General features: G+C 47.6%; 1 protein-coding gene across 7 annotated transcripts in view, besides 10 other annotated features; it reads right to left on the bottom strand.

Moving 5' to 3' along the window:
* The window catches only part of DUSP22 (dual specificity phosphatase 22), a 58,869-nt gene that overhangs the window by 4,611 nt on the left and 29,851 nt on the right, over nucleotides 1-24,407 (bottom strand). For 3 of the 7 annotated variants that reach the window (NR_104474.3, NM_001286555.3, NM_020185.6), the window contains 2 exons: nucleotides 11,582-11,631; nucleotides 817-891 (listed from right to left, as the gene is read on the bottom strand). Coding sequence is in view for 4 of the 7 variants with exons in the window: in NM_001286555.3 (NP_001273484.1) it covers nucleotides 817-891; nucleotides 11,582-11,631 (125 nt within the window). In the remaining 3 variants the exon portion in view is untranslated. Of the gene's footprint in view, nucleotides 1-816; nucleotides 892-8,663; nucleotides 8,740-11,581; nucleotides 11,632-24,407 lie in introns of those variants that run through there. The other 4 variants (XM_011514757.3, XM_017011062.2, NR_104473.3 and 1 more) reach the window with 2 other exon arrangements.
* Nucleotides 3,319-3,819: an enhancer, noted in NCBI's record as "H3K4me1 hESC enhancer chr6:342926-343426 (GRCh37/hg19 assembly coordinates)". NCBI's record gives its function as "activates a minimal SCP1, AML or CMV promoter by ChIP-STARR-seq in primed H9 embryonic stem cells {active_cell/tissue: H9 hESC(primed)}" and the evidence as "EXISTENCE:reporter gene assay evidence [ECO:0000049][PMID:30033119]".
* Nucleotides 4,297-4,566: an enhancer, noted in NCBI's record as "active region_23833". NCBI's record gives its function as "activates an Ori minimal core promoter by ATAC-STARR-seq in GM12878 lymphoblastoid cells {active_cell/tissue: GM12878}" and the evidence as "EXISTENCE:reporter gene assay evidence [ECO:0000049][PMID:35858748]".
* Nucleotides 7,546-7,745: a silencer, noted in NCBI's record as "silent region_16805". NCBI's record gives its function as "represses an Ori minimal core promoter by ATAC-STARR-seq in GM12878 lymphoblastoid cells {active_cell/tissue: GM12878}" and the evidence as "EXISTENCE:reporter gene assay evidence [ECO:0000049][PMID:35858748]".
* Nucleotides 14,317-14,486: an enhancer, noted in NCBI's record as "active region_23832". NCBI's record gives its function as "activates an Ori minimal core promoter by ATAC-STARR-seq in GM12878 lymphoblastoid cells {active_cell/tissue: GM12878}" and the evidence as "EXISTENCE:reporter gene assay evidence [ECO:0000049][PMID:35858748]".
* Nucleotides 14,507-14,586: an enhancer, noted in NCBI's record as "active region_23831". NCBI's record gives its function as "activates an Ori minimal core promoter by ATAC-STARR-seq in GM12878 lymphoblastoid cells {active_cell/tissue: GM12878}" and the evidence as "EXISTENCE:reporter gene assay evidence [ECO:0000049][PMID:35858748]".
* Nucleotides 15,067-15,176: an enhancer, noted in NCBI's record as "active region_23830". NCBI's record gives its function as "activates an Ori minimal core promoter by ATAC-STARR-seq in GM12878 lymphoblastoid cells {active_cell/tissue: GM12878}" and the evidence as "EXISTENCE:reporter gene assay evidence [ECO:0000049][PMID:35858748]".
* Nucleotides 16,003-17,202: an enhancer, noted in NCBI's record as "BRD4-independent group 4 enhancer chr6:329543-330742 (GRCh37/hg19 assembly coordinates)". NCBI's record gives its function as "activates an origin of replication core promoter dependent on BRD2, P300/CBP, MED14 and CDK7 cofactors, and independent of BRD4, by STARR-seq in HCT116 cells {active_cell/tissue: HCT116}" and the evidence as "EXISTENCE:reporter gene assay evidence [ECO:0000049][PMID:35650434]".
* Nucleotides 17,962-18,021: an enhancer, noted in NCBI's record as "active region_23829". NCBI's record gives its function as "activates an Ori minimal core promoter by ATAC-STARR-seq in GM12878 lymphoblastoid cells {active_cell/tissue: GM12878}" and the evidence as "EXISTENCE:reporter gene assay evidence [ECO:0000049][PMID:35858748]".
* Nucleotides 21,879-22,690: an enhancer, noted in NCBI's record as "H3K4me1 hESC enhancer chr6:324055-324866 (GRCh37/hg19 assembly coordinates)". NCBI's record gives its function as "activates a minimal SCP1, AML or CMV promoter by ChIP-STARR-seq in naive H9 embryonic stem cells {active_cell/tissue: H9 hESC(naive)}" and the evidence as "EXISTENCE:reporter gene assay evidence [ECO:0000049][PMID:30033119]".
* Nucleotides 23,201-23,410: an enhancer, noted in NCBI's record as "active region_23828". NCBI's record gives its function as "activates an Ori minimal core promoter by ATAC-STARR-seq in GM12878 lymphoblastoid cells {active_cell/tissue: GM12878}" and the evidence as "EXISTENCE:reporter gene assay evidence [ECO:0000049][PMID:35858748]".

The following is a 24,407-nucleotide window of genomic DNA, read 5'->3' as shown; positions in this document are numbered from 1 at the left end:
TCGGGGAATGTCAAAAGACTGTTAGGCTTCCAGTTAATTAATAACACACTTCATTCAAGACAGAGAGGGGACATGTCCGGCCTAGCACTTAGACAACAGAGCCTTGGCTCCTGAATTTTGGCTACTGGTTCCCTGAACAAATTAGCCATGTTATTAGCATGATTACGAGTGGTCATAAAAATGCCATCCCACTTTCACTAAGAACTCTCTATGTGCCAGGCACACTGCCAAGCGCTTCAGATGCATCATCCTCGGGTTAAGCGTGATACAGTAGCTTTCTTTTCACTGTGTGTGTGTGTGTGTGTGTGTGTGTGTCTACACAAAATATAGCAGGATGCAAACAGACAGCCGTCACTAAACTGGGTCATTCTGGTGTCACAGTAGCGCGATACTGAAAATCCACATTTGCAATCAAGTCTCCTGAAGAAAAAACAACAGTGTCTTCAAAAAGCCACTGAGGTTTCAAGGATGAGCCTACAGAATCTGGGTCATCTGTAAGAGGCTGTTCTGATGAAATGCTGGAGGCAAGCCAGCAAAGGGAAGTTTCTGTTGTCCAGTAACCTTCACGGTCCCTACAGAAATCCTAGCAGTGGAAATGGGAAAAAAACAAAAGCAAAACGAGTTAGGGTTCTCCTTCAACAGAAGGAAAGGGCGACTAACACACAGCGCTGGACAAATGGAGCACGCGTTTGAGAGTCAGGGTTTACAGAAAACTATTAGGAGGTGAAACCATTATTCACACACGGAAAAACACTTGATGGGAAGCCAAGCCGACCAGAATACGCTAAGGCGCTATTAAGCAAGAGACACACGTACCAGTGTACAAGGCAGCTCTCACCGCGGAGCCGGCACTCGTGAATGAATTTAATACTTTCTTTGAAATGTCTTGTCCTGGGAAAAGAAAAAAAGAGAAATGACATCTCTCTACTTTACTCAATATATGATGAAAAGAAAATTCTACCTGAGGCTTCTTTCTTAAAATGTTAATTGATTTTTTTGTATAATTGACACATAATTCTACATATTTATGGGCTACAGTGTGACACTTCAATGCATGTATACATTGTATAATAATCAAATCAGGATAATTACCTGATAAATGCTTAATCACTTTAAACATTTATCACTTTGTAGTGATAACATTCAAAAGCTTCTCTTGTAGCTATCTTGAAACATATACTACATTATTATTTGCTATAATCAAATAATCCACCAGGTAATGGAAACCAGAACATGGCTGGGTGCGGTGGCTCACGCCTGTAATCCCAGCAATTTGGGAGGCTGAGGCAGGCGGATCACTTGAGGTCAGGAGCTCGAGACCAGCCTGGCCAACATGGTGAAACCCTGTCTCTACTAAAAATACAAAAATTAGCTGGGTGTGGTGGCACACACCTGTAATCCCAGCTACCAGGGAGGCTGAGGTAGGAGAATTTCTTGAACCCAGGAGGCAGAGATTACAGTGAGCCAAGATCACACGACTGCACTCCAGCCTGGGCAACAGAGGAAAAAAAAAAAAAAAAGAAAGAAACCAGAATTTATTCTTCCTGTGGTTTACTGAAAGCTCTCCTAGTCCCATACCATCAAAACCTGGTCATACTGTCTGTGGCTGGAGCTGTCTCAGCCTCAGAATCCATTATTTACAATGCTGAGGTCTAGGGAAGGCTGTGGGTTGTCTGGAAGTTTTGGAATTTCTCTGTAAGAAATCCCTGAAACACATAGTTACCACAGACTGGGGTTGAGGGAAGTTCTGGACGGCGCCCCCCATGTTCAATCGGAGCCCCTCAATGCCCCAGCAGCACAGCAGGAACCCTCACACCAGCTGTGGATGGTGCAGGCCACCGTGACGCAGGTGAGGAAGGTGACCACGTCGTGTGGGCTTTCCAAGTCCTAAAAGCTGATTTACTCCTGGCAATCTGGAAAATCTAAAAGCATTCTCTCAAACTGGTCTCCCGGGACTTTGGCAGTCCTGTCTGCAGCTCAGTGGAGAGCTGTGGGGAAATGGAAATTCTGGCTCCAATCCCTCTTTGCCATTTACTGGACCGTGTGGCCCAGGACAAGCCATTTATCTTCTCATTTATAAAGTGGGGCTGGTATCTCACAGGGCAGATGAGGTAATACATGCCAATATGCTCTGCAAACTCTGAAGTCCTAAATGGACTGAACGCGGTGGCACACACCTATCATCCTAGCACTTGAAGAGGCTGAGGTGGGCAGACCACTTGAGCTCAGGAATTTGAGACCAGCCGGGGCAAAATGTCGAAACTCATCTCTACAGAAAATACCAAAAAAAAATTAGCTGGGTGTGGTGGTGCATGCCTGTAGTCCCGGGTACTTGGGAGGCCGAGGTGGGAGGATCTCTTGAGCCCAGGAGGTTAAGGCTGCAGTGAGCCGAGATCATGCCACCGCACTCCAGCCTGAGCGACACAGCGAGACCCTGTCTCAATAAATAAACAAATAATAGAACTAAGTTCTAAATGATGACGCGTGCCTTAATCCTTTCTTCTTCTAACTCTTTAGTTTTTCAGACTGCCCTTTTCTCTTGTCACTCATTCAGCCCCCTAACCGTTCAGGGAGTGCCTGGTTGCACGGCCTTGTGCCAAGTCCCTGAGGCACAAAGCCAGGCAGGACTCGAGCCCCACTGTGGTGCGCTCCCAACCAGCATGTGTGTCCCCTGCCACTCAGACCTCATTCTGGACTGGTTTGTGGGTTAAGTGCTGACACCTCGGGATGGATAGCACATGTACCTCTCCAACGTCTTCTACCTTTGAATGGCTTATAAAACAGCAAAAGTTGCCCATGGACTAAACTGACTTCTCTTTAAACACTGACTGAGTACTGACAATTTGCCAGGGACTCTGATAAACTGTAAGACATTCAGAATGCCAGGGCACATGAATGTAATAAGAATGAGAAATTCAGGCACGGCCTAACAAACTCACCCAGGTACTGACTGCAGAAGAAACTCAGCGACCTCACGGCAGGTGCTCAGTGAGATGAGGACAGCCAGGGAACAGCAGCAACTGTCCATGTGCATGCATCCACATGCAAACATGCACACGCAAACATGCACACGCAAACATGCACACACATGTTCTGCAACAACTGCAAGGGTCACCACAAGCACAAATCCCTAGGGGACCAAATCAAGGACTCCGGACTCTGACCTGACATCTCTAACTAGCACATCTGCTTTTGTTAACTTTCCCAGGGATAACTGCCCCCAGATGTAAATAAGAACAGACCAGAGTGGGCACTGCAGGCAGGGACAGCGTCTTGGCACCCTTGGGGGGCCACAGCAGCGTGAGCAGACTGGGAGACCAAGGAGGGTGCCGTCCAGCTGCACCCCTGCAGCCAGCCAGTCAGCTGCCCCAGCCTGTGCACTGGCCTGTCTACTGTGGCCTGCAAGGAGGGCAGGCACCCGGTGTAAACCACCAGGCAAGTTGCAGACCAGCAGTCTGGAGCCACTTCTGGGCCAGATGAGTTGGCTCAAGGTTTTAAACATTGTTGAACTAGTTGCTGATATCAGGTAGCATGAATTTGGCCATGAGTAGCAGAATACCTGCACCCAGATGTAATAAGGTGGCTTGGTACACAGCAGGCAAGAAAGGATTCCTGCTGTAATCCCGAAATCTAAGGTATCAGTGCCGAAGGACACTCCAGAGCAGACACCCATTACAGCCAGGCCGCAAAGCCAAGTATACAGCAGAGTGGGGCACGAAGGGAGCCTTGTTGGGCAGGAGCCTGGCCCCCAGCAAAGAGCTGGGTAGCCAGCTGGGAGCTCCCCACACCTTCAGCACAACTAGCCGTCTGCGGTTGGCAGAGAAGTCTGCTGGCCTGGAGATAATGGAACCGGACAAGACATGTCAGCCGCACTGATTTTGTTTGGGAAGGACATCCTGTCTTCCTGCAGCTCTGTCCATGTTGAAGCAATGGAAAGGCTGTGGGTAGGGACTTCTGGAAAACCTTTCCCTTCCCGAAGAGAGGAAAGTGATCTATCTCTGCCCCTGACCTCCGGCCATGGAGCTGGGAGCGAGTGCCATGCTCAGAGCTGCACCACCTGCTGCCAAGTGTCTCTCTCCCTTAGAATGCCATGTGTCAGTCAAACACGGTATTCTGCCACTCATGGCCAAATTCATGCTACCTGATATCAGCAACTAGTTCAAAAATGTTTGAAACCTTGAGCCAACTCATCTGGCCCAGAAGTGGCTCCAGACTGCTGGTCTGCAACTTGCCTGGTGGTTTACACTGGGTGCCTGCCCTCCTTGCAGGCTGCAGTAGACAGGCCAGTGCACAGGCTGGGGCAGCTGACTGGCTGGCTGCAGGGGTGCAGCTGGACGGCACCCTCCTTGGTCCCCCAGGCTGCTCACGCTGCTGTGGCCCCCCAAGGGTGCCAAGACGCTGTCCCTGACTGCTGTGCCCACGCTGGTCTGTTCTGTGTGGGTCTCTTTCTGGTCAGAAAGAGCCGTGTCTGTACGCAGAGCAGCCAAAAAAGCAAAAGCAAATCTAGAAATGAATGACGACCGCCTGAGTAAATGAAAAACCACAGAGCACGTCAGAACACACTGCAAAGACCACACAGCAACATGAAAGTTAGCAGCTGCCCATCTGAGTGGGGACAGGATTGGGGTCACATTCAGTTGTACGAACCTCACCAAGGTCTTGTAAAGATGACAACTGAATCCCTTCACTGAAACCTTGGAGTGGGGACCACTTCTTATATCTCACTTTGACATCTGCACGTCCCCAACCACAGACACAATGAAACCGGGCTTCTTACATATTGTGGGGTTGAACCTGGGTTCAAGAGTCAGCCTTGCCACATCTCAAAATACAAGAGGGGAGTGTGCTCAGCCTGGCACCATCCAAACCCATCCGTGCCCAGAGAGCCGAGTGGGCGTGTGAAGGAGCTGAGGAGGTTATGGAGAGGTGACCCCACTCTGCACCACCACCCCCCGGTAGCTCTTTCCGTCTGTAGTAAGAGTTAAGTCCAGTAGAGCCCACAGGACATAGCTCCTATCCACCACCATGTTGGGGGCCTGGGCTGCGTAGCCCTTGTGCAGGCATCATGATAGGGCCATTCGCGGCGCCACCCCAGGAGCCGGAAGGATGCCAACAAGGCGGCCGCTCAGAGCCCCACAGTGCAGCTTGACTCATGGACACAATTCGGCACAAGGCCAAGCCAGAGAGATATTCCTAGAAATGCCTTTTCCAAGAAAAGCCCAGAGGCAGGCGAGCGCACTGCCACTTTGGTGCAGGACTGTGTGTGGGGGTGTTATTTCCAGGGAAGCTGATGACAGAAGCCCCAACTCTGGTCATTAAACTCCCTCCTCCACAGTGGGAAATACCCACAGTCCTGGTCCTTCTATTGCTCAACTGCAGTTAGAAGCAGAAGTGCGAGTCTGAAGCACTATCCTACCGCAAGCTGTTTCGATGAACACAAGTTCCCTGTTCCTGCTCTCCGTTTCATCGGCAGTTCACCTTTACGTCCACGCACAGCCGTGTGGAATAGGCTCAGTCCACAGAGAGCCAGCGAATGCTGCACAAGGAAGCACGGACCGGACCACGCTTGCGTTAGAAACTCACCAAACAGCGCCCGGGGCTATCATGCCCGCTCCTGCCCGCGGTCCTTGCAGCAGGGGCACCTCCAGGGAGAGGGGACTCGCAAACTGCCCAGTCACCCGCAGCTGTCTCCCTCCCTCGTCACAGACCAGCACCCTCTGCCTGGGTCCCTTCCTTTCTGCATCAAAGGCCAAGAGCCAGTGCCCAGATGGGCTCTACCGACCTTCAGAGAGTCTAAGAAAAGATGGTGGATGAGCTTGTACATCACACTACATGGTGTTCACTTTTGAGGCTGAACAACTACTTCTCACTCCAGGACTGCAAGATTTGGAGGCCTCAATCCCCACTGTAGGATCTAAGATGGTCCTGTCCTGCTCAAAAGGACTTTGCCTGTTGGAGTGGGAGCCCAGAGATCTGGCTGAGCACCTTGAATGGCAGCTGGCCCTACCCTAAAAGCCCATGGTACCAGACCACGCTATAACAGCAGCAAGGCCACAGGGACACAGGGTGCTCCTCCTTCCTGCAAATGATACAAAAGTGTATGTGCAAATGAAAGCAAAGGACAAATCCAAAAAAGGCAAGCATCCTTATATATAAGAAATCTATATTTTTATACATTACATATGTAAATATGTATGTTTTTGCTTAGAAAAAAAAGTTTTTGCTTGTTTTCTAATAGCAAATGAGTAGAGTATTCTATCTGGGTCCAGGCTCTGGAAGGTGGTTTCATAACAGAGAGCTGCTTCCTCTTCGGGCAGAAATCTGTCCACGGCCCCCAACCCACAGGCCCTGCCCCAGCACGCTTTCCAGCTGGAAGGCTGATGGTGAAGCCCCCAGTCCACCCAGAGGTAAGTGGGAAGAATGTTCCTCATCAGACAGACATGGTGGAGCTGCCCTATCAGCACACAGCATTACACACAAAACCAGCCCACGTTTGTATCAGTGATTCCCCAACTTTGATATTTCACGCACTGTCAACATTAAAAATAGAATTGGGGGATGCATATATTGTACTTTTCATTTGGCCAGATAAGGGCTTTTTAAAAGCAAACTAAAACAAAGGGCCTCTCTACCACTTACTACAACATCATTTCCCAGAAGAATATTTCAACAACAAAAAGAAGGACATAATCTAAGACTAAACGATAGTTCTTTTAAGTGGAATAAATGAAGTCTTATGGAAAACTGAATGCCACTTTCAGCTCTCATTTTCTCCTTGAGCAGGAGAACATCACTATGGGCTGGCAGAGCCCTCAGGAACTGTCTGGAAGCAGGACCACAGTAGTCCAAGGGCCCAACTAGCTCTCATCTTGCAAAAGTGCTCCTTTATAATAAAATAAAAGAAAAACGTAAATGAGAGAAAAAGAGAGTTGAAAGTACAGAAGGTGTCAGTTAAAGAAAATATAGACAAAAAGATAGGGAGATAGAATAAGGCAAGGACGTTTTACCGATGTTTTCAATATAGGCTCTCTGTATTGCTAAAGCTTCTTCTCCCCACAAAAACCTCAAGAAATTTACAGACCTGCTAGATTCTAAAACCACTGAATGTCACAAAGGCGCTACTGCAATGATGTATACCGACTCCATAGCCTGGCAGAGATCAAATGCCCTTGGACTTCACAGAAAAAGAAAAAAAAAATCTGTAATTACTTGCTTCATGATGTCAAAGTACAAAATGCCAATGTAATATATATTAAAGCAAGATGAGTAAATATAAGTTAATATGCATCTAACCATTCACTTTCAAAACATATTAATACTCTTTACTTGAATAGACAGAAAATATAATCATATTTCCAGAAATGCCTAGTGTTCATAAAAAACACTTTCACTTATATCATCTCACCTAATACTATAAAAAACCCTGTGAGATAGGCATTTTACAGATGAGAGAAGAGAGGTTAAAATGACTTTTCTAAGAAATCCCAGAGAGAAAGCAAAAGCAAGTGAGTATTTCCAAAGCCCTTAATTCACTAACCCATACCACGCTGGCCACTTGGGGAACACGCAGTGTGTGCATTTGATACAAACTCTAGGACGCCTCTAATCATGACAAAATCATGCAAAACACACCACAGTAGGTCTGTGGGGTTATTACAACTCTGAGAACTTGAACTTTTACATTTCCTGACTTGGCAAGGCTAGCTGGTTGGGGAACTGAGCTGAAATTCTAACATGTTAATGTTATCTCAAACTAGGTTTCTGCATTTTAAGTTCCTGGAAGATCAGAGAGGGAGATTTGAGAGGATAGAGGCCAAGACAGAAAACTGACCTTTCCGGGCAGTCTGCAGCAACTGAATGTCAAGTGACAACAGCTAGTCTCAAAGGTCACACATCTCTTACTAAGCATAACTTGCCAGAATTCCTGTTCGTGCAGGGATTTGTGGGGAAAAATTTAAGATATAGAGTGTTAAATTACATCAAAGCTGGCATTCATTTTTAAAATCTGTACTTAAGTTTAAAACAATGAGCAACATAGTTTTCCAGAATTTATTTTATCATTGAATAGAGAAACTCTGAAGCACCGAGAATTTTTTAAGTGGCTAAAGAGCTACTATTTCAAATTGTTTAGGTCCTGCAGAACACAGTTTCCAAGTGACAGGTAAGACTTCTTTTGCTTTTGTTAACTAGAGAAATACGAATATTTGTCGTCTGACCATCCTCATTGGTTGATGATACAGAAAGCAAAAGTTGATTGTCAGCACCTGATACTTGGTAATAAACACCTTAATAAATACCCCGAGAGAGGTAGGTGTTCTGCCTGCCAACTTGAGGGGAATCATTTGATTACATGGTGAAAATATGCTCACCATTAAAAAGTACACTATGCCTTCCAGTAGAACACTTGTAACAGGTAAAAAGAAACTCAAGCTATTTCATCGCCTGCCTCTTAACAAGCTGAGTCACTCAAAGTTCCGAAGTCAGCTCCACCATTTCCACATAACTTTAGTACAGCAAGCAATATTTACAGTCATGGACATATGTGTGTCGAAGCCTTACTTATTCACAAGATTTGCTGTTACTAATGGGTTAAAAATAAACGTTTCCCCCAAAAATCACACAAGAGCATGACTCCCAACAGCAGAGTGTCCACTTTTCCCCACCTTTTCATGAGCTACGGTCCTGACTTCCTTTTTCAGCTGAAACAGAAGTCTTACTGTCGTAGCTTCACTGGAGAGTGCAGCACGGCGCATCCTCCACTCACAAGCCCCAGACACGGCACTGCCACACCTACCTAACCCCTAAGCCCACCCACGTTTCTAGTTTGCCTTTGTAACTCTTTGTCATCCAGATACATCAAAGGCCAAGAGCCAGTCATCCAGCCAAAGAAAGAGTTACAAAAGCAAACCATAAACTTAACAGGACCTCTTCACATATTTGGGATAGGAGAGAACTAATTAAAAGGGTAGGAGGAGGTGAGGGGTGAAAAATTGCTTAAAGAGTAAAACGTTCACTATTCGGGTGACGGATGCGCTAAAAGTCCAGACTTTGCCATTAAGCCTTATATCCATGTAACAAAATTGCACCTGCAACCCCTAAATCTATACGTATTTTAAAAAGAAAAAGTATGGGCTAGTCCTTCAGCACCAAAGGTGACTGGAATTAGGCTGGTTTTGACAGATGATCTGAACTGACCCACGAGACCTAGAACTCAGAGAAGAAGCTGGCATATCTCTGTCTCCCCTGTCCCTCCATGTCAGCAGGTCTCTCAAGTAACTGAAGCAGGCTTCCTGGGCACCAAAACTTGTTATTGCAACTACCTTTTCTGTAACTCTCAAGATACATTAATATACGCTGAGTGAAAACAGACTCAGTTTTACAAGTGCTCAGAGTTCGCAGAAAACACCTTCACATACATGCCCTTGCCTCCAAAAACCCTGAGGGCAGGCATTTTCAGATGGGAGAATGGAGGTGTAGATGGGTTAAAATGACCTGCCCAAGGTAGGTGTAACTGGCTTTACAGTTGAGATTTTCTAACATCTACGCCTACTACTTACTTGTCTATAGTGCAAGGGGTCACTCCACGCTTAAATCAGGTCACTGTCACAGACAAGAGAGCACTCAGCTCCTAGCAAAGCTGAGAAGCACTGGGGACAGCTCAAGGACAGGTAGCCACCTGCACTGACAGCAGATGTCCAGAGCCCAGAGTGGGTCACATCTGAGTTTTTCTTCTAAAGAATCAAATTGCCAATCAGGTACTGACAAGTTCAACAGCATGTCAGAATCTCGGTTTGAGATAAGAGCAAAGCAACCATTCTAAAAATAGCCACCAAAACATGGGCAGAAGATTGCTATGGTCTTCAGAGAAAGGCAGTGGCTCACTTCCTTCCGTGTGCACCATGCCTTCCAACCACTTCTGTTTCTTGACACGACTAGTAACCAAGGAAGTTCTCTAATGCTGCTTCTCCTCCTTCCAGGCCTAGAGTGCTACTCTGTTTTCCTAGGAAAATCCCCCCTCCACCATCCTCAATCTTAAACGTTCACCTTTCTGTGAAATATCAAGAGTGCATGTGGAAACACAGCCCCTGGGGAGCACACAGTGGCTCCAGCTTCCCACCTCCCGTTCCCCTCCTGATCTACCACCTCACTTTTCCCATGTCAACCCATCTTACTCCAGCTCTATTTTTTTTCCCAAAAAGGTAGATCTCACAAAATTATCGCATAACCTGTGATTTCTCTGCTCTGCCCCAGTGAAGGCTCAAGGTCGGCTGATGGCCAGCGTTCAATAACTCCCAGAGTGGTGGCACACCTAGGGTCCTGAACATTGGGGCACATGGTCTGCACTCCTGATCCATAGGGTGTGCGTGCACCAGTGCTTGGGGCATAAAAGGGGAATCCAGACGAGCCTGAGGACTCCCAAATTCACAAACTTCACCACAGCCTACAACTTCCCTGTGACATGCAGTAACACACAGTTCTAGGAGGGTTGCTGTGTCTTTGACCTGTGGCATATAGCACTGGGCCAACCTGAGAATCAGAGGCCAGACTCAGTGGCATGGGATGCTAAGTACTTTACTTCCAGCCCCAGCCTTTCAGCCTGCACAAGTCAGATGTGTGCTTCAGGAAAACTGTAATCTACTCCACATCATGATATTTCCAGGTCCCTTCTATACAGCCAAGACGGACTGCTAAAGCTGTAGCTGCCACGGGTCCCCAGAGCCCTATCCCTTATCTTGCCAAAACCTAATCCTATCTGTCTCCACGGGATTTCTTCAATATGGAAAAGGGAACAATTATGAATCTCTCTATAGGTGCAGAGTTAAAATAACATCAAAGGTTTATTCTGCTATGAAGAAATAGAGGACTGGACTTTCCTAAGCCACAACGACCTATTCATTCCACTCCGCCAGGCTTTAGCCAGCATGCTGCCCCATAAGGCAGCCGCCAGCCTCCTGGGGTTCTCAAGCCCTGGAAACACAGCTGGTCTGAACGGAGATGTGCCAAGTATGAAACAGCACGCCAGAGCCCCCAGACTTCGTATGAAAGAAGGACATAAACTTGCTCATTAATTTTTTATATTGAGTACATATCAAAATAATATTTTAGATACACTGGATTAAGTAAAATATATTATTAGAATTAATGTTGTCTGTTTCTGTTTGCTGTTTAAAATGTGGCTCCTAGAAAATTTAAAACTGCCCATTTGTGGCTCACTATCTATTTCTATTGGACAGCGCTGCTTTAGACAGAACCCAACAAATCCTTCACGGTTTTATTTCTAGAGGAAAGATGAGCATACTAAAGGTTTAAGGTATCCTTTGTAAACATCAGACCCTTCTTGTGGACAGCCCATGAGTCTCTCTGCATAATGGAAGGACCAGTCAACCACAAGGAGCCTCCTGCCACAGCTCATCCCAGCCTGCCTAGCGTTGGCCTCTGTAGGCTCACAGCCTCTTCCCTGGCAGGGTCAGCAAGGGTCCCGTGAGCTCTGACAACTTCACAGTCTTCTACTTCTCTGACTTTACCATCCTCTATTCATTTTTTTAAATGTCTCCAAATAATACAGAAATAAGAAACTTACAGGTTTTGAGATGGTGAATCCGCTGCTGGGATGCACAGGTATTTAACTCCCTGCAGAATAATAAAAAGTAAATACATAAAAATAAAAACATGAAACTCAGTGGAGAAAAGTATTTAAGGAACTATTTACACAGGTCAAAAAATAAAAAAATAAAAAGGAGAAGTTTTTCACTCATCTTTTGTTGCCAAGGAACTGCAGAAAAACTAATTAAAGTTCCTGGTTATTTTCCGTGACCATGCGTACAAATAATCCTGCTTTGGTTTGCAAACAGCCTGTAGGTTTAGGCAAAATTCAAAGGGCACATCAAAAAAGTGAAATAGTTGAGTACTTTTCAGTAAGTTTCAACTACTTTCAAAACCAGCATCTCAGATGTTAGTTTATATATTCCAAATTTTTTATATATTTCATTTAGGATTCTGAATGTTCAAAAAGGAAGCACTGTTCGTAAGTAAAAACCTTAACAAGAGTGAAAACTATAATGTCACATTACAGCTTTCTACATCAATTTTAGTACCATGACAGCTACAATTTCACTGACGCACCAATACGAGCTTTACCCTGGGGATAATTTGTTTTATTTTGCTTGCTTTTCAGGACAATAAAGGTTTATATATCAAACAAAAATACTTTTTTCTTTTTTAAAGAATGGCCAAATTTGAAAAAAATAAACTTCATATACTCCTCTATAAAACTCAGAAAAAGGTTTATGTAAATCCATGCTACAACAGGCATGCTAAATGTGAGATTTATTTAAAAAAAAAAATGGCTGTTTCTCTTTCGGAGGGACTGAAAGAATGTTTCAAAAGCTCTGTCAAGTAGAAACACAAAACATAAAAATCTGATATTCTCTTTGTAAGAGATTATGGCCTGATGAAGAATTAGATGAATCATTTTTAAATTATTCCTCTCTTAATTGCCTAATCTCACAGAATCTTGCCACCGTGTCACAGACAATGTTAGGGGTACACATCAGACACTGGAGAAGTAGCCAACCTTGGAGAATAAAAGCACAGAGGCAGAAGAGGGACACAGACAACCTCAGGTTCTCAGAAGATGGAGTTACAACGCAACGCATCTTCAGTAATTAGTCACAAATAATTTCTGCATTTTTAATTAAACTTTTACCATTAACTCCTATTGTTAGGAATTTCTGTGCTGTATTTGCCAATAGGGACAACTAAATGTGTAGCTGCCCCTAATCCTTCCACACCTCCTACACATTTTAATAGCCCCTGACATTGTGAGTCCTACTTTTCCAATACAGGCACCAGACACACTTCATGTCCCAACCTCCCTCGCGATTAGGGACTCCCCACCTGGCCCTCAGGAGTCGGATCGGCAGCTACTGAGTGGGATCCGGGAAGCACACGTGGGCTTCGTGGGCGCAGGGCGGGGGCAGAGCACATGCTCTTTGCGGGGCAGGTGGGGCAGGGGTGGGCTGGCTCGGGGCAAAGTGGGCGCTGAGCTTGGGGCCAGTTTTCTGGGGATCACTCCTGAACTTCAGCCTAAAACCTGTTCTCCATCTATTCTGAGGGAACCATGAGCTTTCAGTCTCTCTTAGTAAAAGCTGTTTCCTGCTGAAACTGAGTCAGAGCAGGATCTGTTCACTGCAACTAACACCTAAGTGAGAGAATTCCCTCTTGCCTCATCCACAATGATGAGGGGTCAGAAAAACATCTTTCCCCTCACAGTTTCTGTATGCTTTGAATCAAAAACGTTTTCTCCCTCACAGTTTCTGTACATTTTGTTTCCAGCTTTAAATCAATCTTTACACCTTCCAATAAAGGCCCTTTTGGGTCTTGAAGGAGATGAACTTTATTGCTGTTTATCCACATGGGAACATCTCACTTAAGACCAAATGGGCTTCAACCATGCCAAGGGTTAATTTAGAATCTGCTGGTGGAAGAGGAAAGTGAGGCAGCAGCTTCTCCCTCCTTTGCCTTCACTTTGTTATCCCCAGTTGCCTCCTCCTGTCTCTGTCCTCATTTCTCCTGGGCTTGTGGGCTGTGCTCTGCTGGGAACACTGAAAGTATCTTCAAACCTAGAGTGGTATTACAGCTCGGACTTCAAGGGAAAACAAACGGAAAAGGAAGTATTATTGTTAAAAGTAATTTCAGTCCTTTCCTTCGTGGAGGCCAAACAAGCTTGTTGGTATAGATGCACATACATTGATCACCTCCTGCAGCCACCATTGAAATGACTCATTCACTTCTTTCCTTTTACTCTTAAGTGAGAGTTGGCAGTCGATCAGTCCAGAAGCTTGTGAAATCCTTTCCTCCCACACTCTCCCTCCACGCTCCTTGGAGACCAGCACCTCCAGACAGACCAGAAGGAGCCTCAAGTTCCCACCTTCCCTTCTAGTGCCATCTTCAGTGTCAGCGACTTCCATCTGGCAAGGAAGCTTAAGACGAGATGGAAATGCCGGCGTCCCCCAGATGTTGACTGACAGCCACTTTATTCCAGCAGAATCTAAAATCAGCCTAGTCTATATATCAAGAGGAAAGAAAAAAAAAAAAAAAGAAGGACAGGAAGAGAATGGACAGAGGGTCTGCTGAATAGCTCTTTGCTGGCTATAAATACCAGCCGTGGGACTGGACAGTATTGTGCTTCCTATGGGCAGTCTCCATGTGTGGTTGTGTTCCCCTTTGTGGCACCCGATGAGCAAAAGGACCAACTCAGGCTGGTCCCATGAGGCAGGAGCACCTTGTCAGGTGGGCACGAGAATCTACCCACAGGAAGACGGCAAAGGCTATCTCTCCATCTGGGAACCACCAGGATGAGGAGGCAGCTCTTGGCCATGCTGGCCCCTGCCCACAGTCGCTGGGGTGGGCGTGTGGAGCTGCAGCCTCCCATCTGTGAATCCTCTGAAGAGGAACAAAATGGCTCCCAACCACAATTTGGGGACCACCTGCTGCTAAGGCAGGACAGATAAAAATAGAAAACCTGAGTCAAGATTATATTCTGTTGAAGACAGAATGACAACAGCAATGATAACAAGCTTCCCTGCAAGGGTGCCCGGCACACAGCAGGCACTCACTGAAATGTCTGCAGAGTGATGAGACAGAGGATGAGAACAATGAACACAAAGATCACACTGCCAGATGAGTGCAAGGAAAGAAAAATACTGTAAAGCACCATCATTTGTGCCAGTGACCACGAAACGAGAGCTGGGCTTCAGCCCACACCATGCAAACAGCAAGCCACCCACACATGCTCAAGGGACACCAGCGTCCCTCCTGGCCACTGCAACAGGACGCAGCTGAGAGCCAGTCGGCGTGATCCACAATAAGAATATGCAAACTCAGTCAAGGAAGGAGTCAAAACTGTCAAAAAGGTTCAGCTGCTCGCCACCTAAGAACATCTATTTATCTTGGTTTAGTTATTAACAAAGCATGAAAAGTCTCTCCCAAGCCACAGACTACAGAATTTGAGTTACCTTAGAACAGCTTCAGATACCTGCACATGTGTACAATTCATGACAGTTAATTACTAATTCAGAAAGCAGCATGAGTCCCCCAGTGCCACAAGAAAGCTGGCCCACTTAAAAGTATCCTAGTACTAATGAATAAGTTCTGCAAATGTTTTAATGTGATGTGGAATAGATGGTTTCACCAAATAGGTCCTCAAGACAGGACCACTCTCCGGTTTTGAAGTTTACAGAAATAGAAATAAAGGACAGGATAAGTTTAGATAAATTATGGAAAGTATAACAAACTTGGAGGTTAAAAAAAAAGCAATAAAAATTCTAGAACAATCTGAAAAATTTGTAAGTAATGAAGATAACAGCAATGTTTCCATTAGTACAGTGTTTGCTGTAAGGTATTCACTCCCTCATACTACCTCTAATATTTGAAAAAGTAAAGATAAAATGGGTTGTCTTCCTGTAGCAATAAAAGTCTCACTAAATAAATAAGAATTCAGCACTTTCCACGATGTTCCAAAACAGTGGATTGGTGGAAAGCCAATTAACATCACAGTTTTATGAGGCTATTAAACGTCAAGTTACGGTGCTTCAATCTCGAGTACACTGAAATACAAAAACAAGCTCAGTTAAGAAAAATGGGCTCTGTGTTTGCTTCAAGACCGTCATGATTTCTATGAGGACAAAGAAAGAGCAGCGATGATGGCATTTTAAGTGGCGTAACATGACGAAGTGAGTACCAGGAGAGGAAAAGGGGGAAGAAGTAAGGAACAGTCTCTACCTGTGTTGAGGGGACCAGGTGTACACCGTATATTACTAACGCCAAGCAGCATGTATAAAACAATTAGTATAGAACAACCGGTATAAAACCACGTGATGTAAAAATTTGGAAGATGCTGCAAAGAGGCAGGAGAGATGGGGGATCTGCTAAGGACAGCTTTCTAGTGAAGGTTTTGTGTTTAGGTTTTGAAAGAAACAACAGACGTCACTTGGAGGAGAAGAAAGTTCAGAAGGTTTTCCAGCGGCTCTTCAAACCAGAGCTTAGAGCTGCCTGAGTCCATCTTCTCAAAAGTTCTAAATACTTTTCAGTTTTCTGTTTCAACAAGTATAGTAACCACCAAAAGTAAGGTTTTTACCTTTCTTTGGGCCTGAAACTAAAGATTACACTTAAAACGATACGGAGGCAGGTCCCTGAAAAGCAGGGCCAAGGTTCTGATTTCACGACTGGTAAAGAAAGAGATCAAACTCTCGCTTGTTTCAAGCATGATTTCTAACATTCACTGTTCTTTTCTTTCTGAGGCGTTGTAAGAAGGAGAGTCTTCTCAAGAGCCCAGCTGACATTCTGCTTTGCACAAGGAAGATAAACCCTTCAGAAGCCATGTCTCTCTCCTCTCAAAGCCAACAGAAACCAGTTACAGGACAGAACTGGATCCCTGCAGGAGCCTCTTCAAAACACAAGGAGGGGGAGAGCAAGTTCCTAAGGGCCAGGATCAGGAAACCACGCAATGGAAACGTCATTTTGGCTGCTAATAAACATGTCACCACTAGAAGCCCCGGTTTCTCATCTCAGCCTGTGCGGCAGCAGTGACGGTATGGTGAGCCCAGGGGGGTCCTCCTCCAGCAATGGTGTCTGTTATTTGAAAATGAGTCCCATGAGGGAGGTGCCGGGTGCCCTGCTTCACCGGCCTGTGTGGCCCCTGTACACACACTCTGTATTCACACTGACCCTCCACCACAATTAACAACTGAGCGAAACCAGCCAGCGAACTCTCAAGAGCGACTTTCACCACATTCCCAGAAGCCTGACCCTGAAAAAAAAAAAAAGAATTAAAAGCCAAATTTAAATTTGAACCACTCCTCCCCTGATCAGAAGCAAGGTCACAGCTTGTAACACTATGATGAGAAACACACACAGCAGAAGACTCTCTCATTGGAGACAGCCTCTCTCTATACTATTTTGTGGTAAAATACACATAAGATTTATCATCGTAGGCTGGGCATGGTGGCTCATGCCTGCAATCCCAGCACTTTGGGAGGGCAAGGCAGGTGAGCCACGAGGTCAGGAGTTCGAGACCAGCCTGGCCAACATGGTAAAACCCCGTCTCTACTAAAAAATACAAAAATTAGCCAGGCGTGGTGGCATGCACTTGTAATCCCAGCTACTCAGGAGGCTGAGGCAGGAGAATCGCTTGAACCCAGGAGGTGGAGGTTGCAGTGAGCCGAGATCACACCACTGCACTCCAGTCTGGGATATAGCGAGACTCTGTCTCAAAAAAAAGCAAAGATTTACCATCGTAACCATTTAAGGCGTACAGTTCAGTGGCCTTAAGTACATTCACACTGTTGTGCAGCCATCACCTCACCCGTCTCCAGGACTTTTTCATTCTCCTAAAGTAAAACTCTGCACCTATTAAGTAATAACTCCTCATTCCTCGCAGCCCTTGACAACCACCTTTCACCTTTCTATCTCTATGAATCTGACTGCTGCACTTTCATATAAACCTGACAGCAAGCAAACTGTGAAAACCGTCTGGCCACACTCTTGAAGATCGTAGACCCAGGAGATGGCAATCAGGAACCTGAAATTGCTTTTTGAGGCACCCTGCAGGTTTGATGAGCTGTCTCCTCTTTGCAAGGTGTCTTTATTCCACAGAAAGCATAAGAGAATGCTCATTTACGTGTGTGGCAGCCCAGCTCGGTGCGTGGCACATGCATTTTGATTATTTCTCCTCCAGGTATGACTTTCACATAGCCCATAACATTTGTAGAAATTATGTAAGGTTAAAGGGAAAAAGCAGAATTCGAAATCCCATCCCAAGGAAGATTACACCTGGAAAAACTTACGTATGCCTATGGACTAAGTACTGGAAGTCAACACAAAAAATAGGCAAGGTCCAGCAGACAAGACCTCTCCTCTCTTTTTTGTTTGCATCACAGCAAAAGTCCCAAATAAATTACTGCAGAAAGCCGCCACGGCAGATAAATATGCTCCATTAGTTAGGCTGCATTATTCATGTTTTAAGTCCAGGTTCTAAACTGAAGATGTATTTTCTTAAAGCACCCATTTGCCACTGATTCTTCCTGCATCAGCTAAATTTAGGAAACCGTACTACAAATAATAACTTCCAAGAACTCTGTGGTACTGATGGGGCGGGGAGGGAGCAGGAGGTCAGAGTGGAGAGACAAGATTTAGCCTCTGGTTTGATACTGTGAGACAACATGCAAATGAGAAACCTCCAACACCTGTGACTTCTTTCAGGTTAGTCAAAAACCGACATGCATTTGACTTGTCAGATCAACAGATGAGAACTCAAAAGCTTATTTTTGTTCAAGATATTTCAGTGCAAGGCTAAAGTGGGCACGGTCAGAATGTTGGATTTCCTCCAGCCAGTACGGGCTGGGTTATGGGAAGGCAGTGAGGGAGATTCACTCTAGCTCCGTCTCACCACTGAAAGCCCTACCGGGTGCTTTCAGTTCAGCTGCAGGACTTGCTGATGTACACAATTGTGACTCATGAAAACTGGGCCAGTTTCAGCAGTCACTTGGGACCAAGGCATTCCGTGGTATTACTTAATGAAGGTGAAGCCTGAACAACCCATCTCAAAAAACTGCCATGAGTGAAAGCTGCTGCTTAGAAATCAGCAGCAGATATTCTAGGAGTGTTCTCTGTACGTATCACCAGGGAAAAATTTATCTCTTACAAACATTATCTGATCACACATCTCAGCTGCTGAAAAATATTCAGTGGCTCCTCTCTGTCTGCAAAGTAGAGAAGACCCATTTTCACAGTGCTTCAGCATCTGTCCACAACCCCCTTCCTGACCTCACATCCATGATCTCTCCCTCCTACCACCCCTCGCTCCTCAAACTCCAGCAACCCTGGGCTGCTGTTAGTCTCCCCACATGTTCTGTGCTTCCCTGCTCCCGGCCATCCTGCCAAGTCCCTGTGGTTTTCTCTCTCTGGAATAGGCTTTCTGCGTGGCTCTTCTCAGTAAAACCTCCCTGACATACCCACCAGGCTCTCTGTGGAGCCTTCCCTCACCTCCTCGGCCTCCCCCTTAGCAGACTTCAGCCCCACGCTGGGCCCCCACACCACCAGCAGCACACAGGCGCATGGCCCTGGCACAGAGGACTGGCACTGCGTGTGAAGGGCCAGTCTCTCTCACTAGACCCCAGATTCCTCGAACTCCCACGGCTGTGGTCATCATCTATCAGTCTCCTGGCACCTCTCTCCTGTAAACGGTTCCAAATGAAGAAAGGAATGCATGAGGAGGGACATGCCATTTCAGAATTTTAAACATGTGGCCACCAACCCAATGCGCCCTGACAGCACTGCTCCCAGGCTGGCCACGGCACCTGCAGGTAGCCCTGGAGTCACCGTCCAGTGCGGGCCGGCCTCCACCTTCACTCTCCTCCAGCTGTAAATGGGGCTCTGCTGGACGTGGTGAGTGCACGCTCCCACACAGAAAACCATGACAGGCAAAGACAAGGCAAAGATGCTGGGCATTTCTGGGGCTGCATTAAACTGGGGGCTACCCAGCCCCAAGATTCAGACCTGGCTGGGCTCCTGGAAGCTCTTAGTTTCCTCTCAGTAATGCTCCTGCTGCCCAACAGCGAAGCCCAGGGTGGGTGAACTAGGGCCCATGTTCACGGGGCACAGCTGTGCCCACTGATTCACGTATTGTCTGTGGCCCCTCACCTCATGGTGGAGGCTACAGTAGCTGCAGCAGAAGTCCCCAAAGCCCCAAATATTCCCTGGGCCTTGACAGCCAAAGCGTGCCAAGCCTCGGTCTAGACAGTCCCATTGCACAAAGTCATTCTGATGGTGACAGCTTGTTTTGCACATCCCATTTGTCTTCTCCATTTAAATGACATCTGATACAGCACACCACCTTCTTAGAATTGCAGCATTCTTAATCTGCAGCTGTGCTCAATTCTCCTTTGCTCTGATGCAGAGAGGGACAGAAGGATTTCCCTTGAACACAGGACTTTAAACAAGGAAAGTCAATGTGACATGTGAAAAATACTAAGTGCAGTGCCAGAACACAGTAGATGCTCAATAAATGGTAGTAGACAGGATTTGCCAGTGACTCTCCCTCAAGGGCAATCCCATCTGCATAATTACCAGCAGATACAGCACTGCACACACCAGGACGCAGAAGCCCAGGGCAGATGACTCTCCAGGCACCAGCAGATACAGCACTGCACACACCAGGACGCGGAAGCCCAGGGCAGATGACTCTCCAGGCACCCGCAGATACAGCATTGCAGACACCAGGACGCAGAAGCCCAGGGCAGATGACTCCAGGCACCAGCAGATACAGCACTGCACACACCAGGACGCGGAAGCCCAGGGCAGATGACTCCAGGCACCAGCAGATACAGCACTGCACACACCAGAACGCAGAAGCCCAGGGCAGATGACTCTCCAGACACCAGCAGATACAGCACTGCACACACCAGGACGCAGAAGCCCAGGGAAGATGACTCCAGGCACCAGCAGATACAGCATTGCACACACCAGGACGCAGAAGCCCAGGGCAGATGACTCTCCAGGCACCAGCAGATACAGCACTGCACACACCAGGACACAGAAGCCGAGGGAAGACGACTCTCCAGGCACCAGCAGATACAGCATTGCACACACCAGGACGGGGAAGCCCAGGGCAGATGACTCTCCAGGCACCAGCAGATACAGCACTGCACACACCAGAACGCAGAAGCCCAGGGCAGATGACTCTCCAGGCACCAGCAGATACAGCATTGCACACACCAGGACGCAGAAGCCCAGCGCAGATGACTCTCCAGGCACCAGCAGATACAGCACTGCACACACCAGGACGCAGAAGCCCAGGGAAGATGACTCCAGACACCAGCAGATACAGCATTGCACACACCAGGACGCGGAAGCCCAGGGCAGATGACTCTCCAGGCACCAGCAGATACAGCACTGCACACACCAGAACGCAGAAGCCCAGGGCAGATGACTCTCCAGGCACCAGCAGGTACAGCACTGCACACACGAGGATGCGGAAGCCCAGGGCAGATGACTCCAGGCACCAGCAGGTACAGCACTGCACACACGAGGATGCAGAAGCCCAGGGCAGATGACTCCAGGCACCAGCAGATACAGCATTGCACACACCAGGATGCAGAAGCCCAGGGCAGATGACTCTCCAGGCACCCGCAGATACAGCATTGCACACACCAGGACGCGGAAGCCCAGGGCAGATGACTCTCCAGGCACCAGCAGATACAGCACTGCACACACCAGGATACGGAAGCCCAGGGCAGATGACTCTCCAGGCACCAGCAGGTACAGCACTGCACACACCAGGACGCAGAAGCCCAGGGCAGATGACTCCAGGCACCAGCAGATACAGCACTGCACACACCAGGATGCAGAAGCCCAGGGCAGATGACTCTCCAGGCACCCGCAGATACAGCATTGCACACACCAGGACGCGGAAGCCCAGGGCAGATGACTCTCCAGGCACCAGCAGATATAGCACTGCACACACCAGGACGCGGAAGCCCAGGGCAGATGACTCTCCAGGCACCAGCAGATACAGCACTGCACACACCAGGACGCAGAAGCCCAGGGCAGATGACTCTCTAGGCACCAGCAGGTACAGCACTGCACACACGAGGATGCGGAAGCCCAGGGCAGATGACTCTCCAGGCACCAGCAGGGAGAGGGCCACACTGCTCTTCAAGCTGTGTGCTGTACCTATCTCCCTGAGCCAGCCTCCCCTTCCCGGCAGGATGCGGCAGCCTGCCTTAAACACAGCTCCCTCCTTAGGGAGGCACGAAGCGCTGCTGGGAACACTGTGCCTGTTTTGCAGTTGGCTAAGCCAGTGAGCTCTCGGAGCCCCTCGCTGGTGATGGAATGGGTCCCTCAGCTGCAGATGGGTTACAGGCTTTGTAGACTGCCGCTTGTCTTCAGGCTTGGACACAATCTGCAGCATCTAGGAAGCCCTTTCTAAACAGCACGGATGATCCCTCCAGCCGAACACCACATCCTCCCTCTGGGATCATACTCTAGAAGCTGTTTTGAGAAAGAGGCAAACACTGACCCAGAGCAGGGTGCTGCCCTCCAGGGCTGGCCAGTTCTGCATGGGCAGGGCTGAGGCTCAAGACACGCAAAGGCTGGACGTGGTGAGTGCCACGGGAGCTCAGGGCAGAAAGAACGTCCACGGGGTGGGAGAGTGGAGAGAAATGAGAACAGCGGCTCTTCTGTTTCTCCTCAACACCAGGAGGGACACCCCTCTGTTATGCAGCAAGTTAATATTAGAGACGTGCTGCATTCCTGTGCTCCGCGGCACTCACTGCCTGAGGTTCGCGGCAGCAGGTGTGGGTGGGAGAGCGTGTTCCTTGCTCTGATTAAGGATGAGCGGGTCACTGCTCCCAGGCCTCCCCAGGAAGGGCGGCACTCCTCCAAGCCCTCCACCCTCTCCACGCCTGCCGCTGCTAGCATGGCACAGAAGGAGGCCCTAGGTCACCTCGGTCAGAGCCCACATGTGGAAGCACAGGGGAAGAGAGTGCTCCGGCCACCAAGGAGGCTAGAGGACACTCACTGGGGTAGCCATGCGGCTGCAAGCCCACTGCTGAAGTAGGAGCAGCTGCAGAGGTTTCCATCAGAAAAGGCAGGAAACCTCAGCTTAAAGGAACAGTTTTTAAAAACCAGGAAGCCAAAAACCAAAAACACTTGGAAATGTTATCTTCCTTTGCTAGTTATGAGATCTTTTCTTCTTCAGGGCATAGGGTGGAGCCATTCCATAGTGCAATTTAATTGCACTCTCCATCTGCTCTCACTGACAATCATGTAAAGGAGACTTCGAACTGCTTCCACTTGGGTGCTGCGGGGCTGATCTCCTGGAACAAGGTATTTCATAAAATAGATATATTTGATTTGTACCTATTCTACCCCGGCGAGGCTCTGCCTCCTCCCAGGTCAGCACAGCTGAAATGATCCTTGAACTCCTCTGCTTAGGAATAATTTCCAAGAGTAGGAGTCTCAAGCCAAGGTCTGAGCTCTGCTCTGTTCACCCCAGAGTTACAAACTGACAGGGAAATCTGTGCCTATACAGCCATCCTAAGATGGCAAAGGGACGCCCTAAGAGCCACTTCCCCGCGTCCTCTCCTTGCACTGATAGTGGCTGCACCTCTCACGGAAGGAGCCAAGGGCCTTGTGGATTAACCCCCACTAGCCGGGGAAAAACCTGAGAACAAAAAGTTGGACCTCAAGAGAAAGAAGCTCTAACTCAGATTTCAGATGCACCTACTTCGTTCCCACGCCCAGAACTTTCACCATGCATTTCATTTGCTTTCCCATGGGAAAAGAAGGCCAGAGCTAGCTGGCGATGCCCCTGCTCAGTGATGAATGCTGAAACTTGACGCTGGCAGTAGCTGCGGTGATAACTGAAAGGAGGGAAATAACTTCTCAATTCAAACCTAGGGTTTGATACTGTCCACCTCAACACACACACACACACACACACATGCACACACGCCTTTAAAACATCCCAGGGAGTCTGGCCACACAGAGGGGAACACATTTTTAAAAGCATGGACAGAGCTTGTTCACAGCCTGTAATAAGGTGATGAAACTAGCTAGGTGCTATTGCTTCACTCTCAGAGTTTTAAAATAAGATTGGAGCACTTCCCTTGCAGGTGTGGGCAAACACAAGGTCCACCTGCATTGCCTAGCAGGCAATGATTATTCAGAGCACCTGAAAACAGCAGATTTGCTTAAACCAGTCTTTGGTAAACTAGGGCGCATTTTCTTATGGCTAAAAACAACAATGGTGCCCAGAGAGCCCTTTAACCCGGCTTTGGGTCTTAACCAACCTACCCCCTTTAACTTCCCATTCAAACTTCCTATTGCAGACTCGAAGGCCCCCCCCCGCCCCACCAAGCAGCCATAACCCACGGAATCTCCCTGGACTAGATGTCCTCTTCCATCACCACCACCACCATGATGCTTAAGCTTTCTGCTAGTCAGCCAGCCACACACGGTGCTGTCCCGACCCGGAACAAGAAACACTCTTTCCCTCCGTGGATGCTCTCCACGGATATTCTCCTTGGTTGTTTCTACCAACCTAAGCCTGTCTTCTCTTTCAAACGCCTTACAGAATTGCATCTCCTCTGAAAGCATTTCAGACTTGCTATTCACGTCACCTAGTCTCCCCTTTCCAGTGTCCACAGCACCTAAAACAGCCAAACACGAGGGTCTTCTTGGGTTGGAATCTGTGAATGAGAAGCTGCAAAATCTCAGCTTGGGGGAAGCAAAACTCAAGCTCTACACTGGGGCCAGAGTACCCTGAGGCGCCCCTGCAGGGAACCCCAAGGACTGCACTCAGAAGAGCTGAGACTAACTAGAACCCACACAAGGGGTTACAGGAG

Source organism: Homo sapiens, chromosome 6 (assembly GCF_000001405.40).
Source record: "Homo sapiens chromosome 6, GRCh38.p14 Primary Assembly".
NCBI lineage: Eukaryota > Metazoa > Chordata > Mammalia > Primates > Hominidae > Homo > Homo sapiens.
This window is presented reverse-complemented; position numbering and strand designations above follow the sequence as displayed.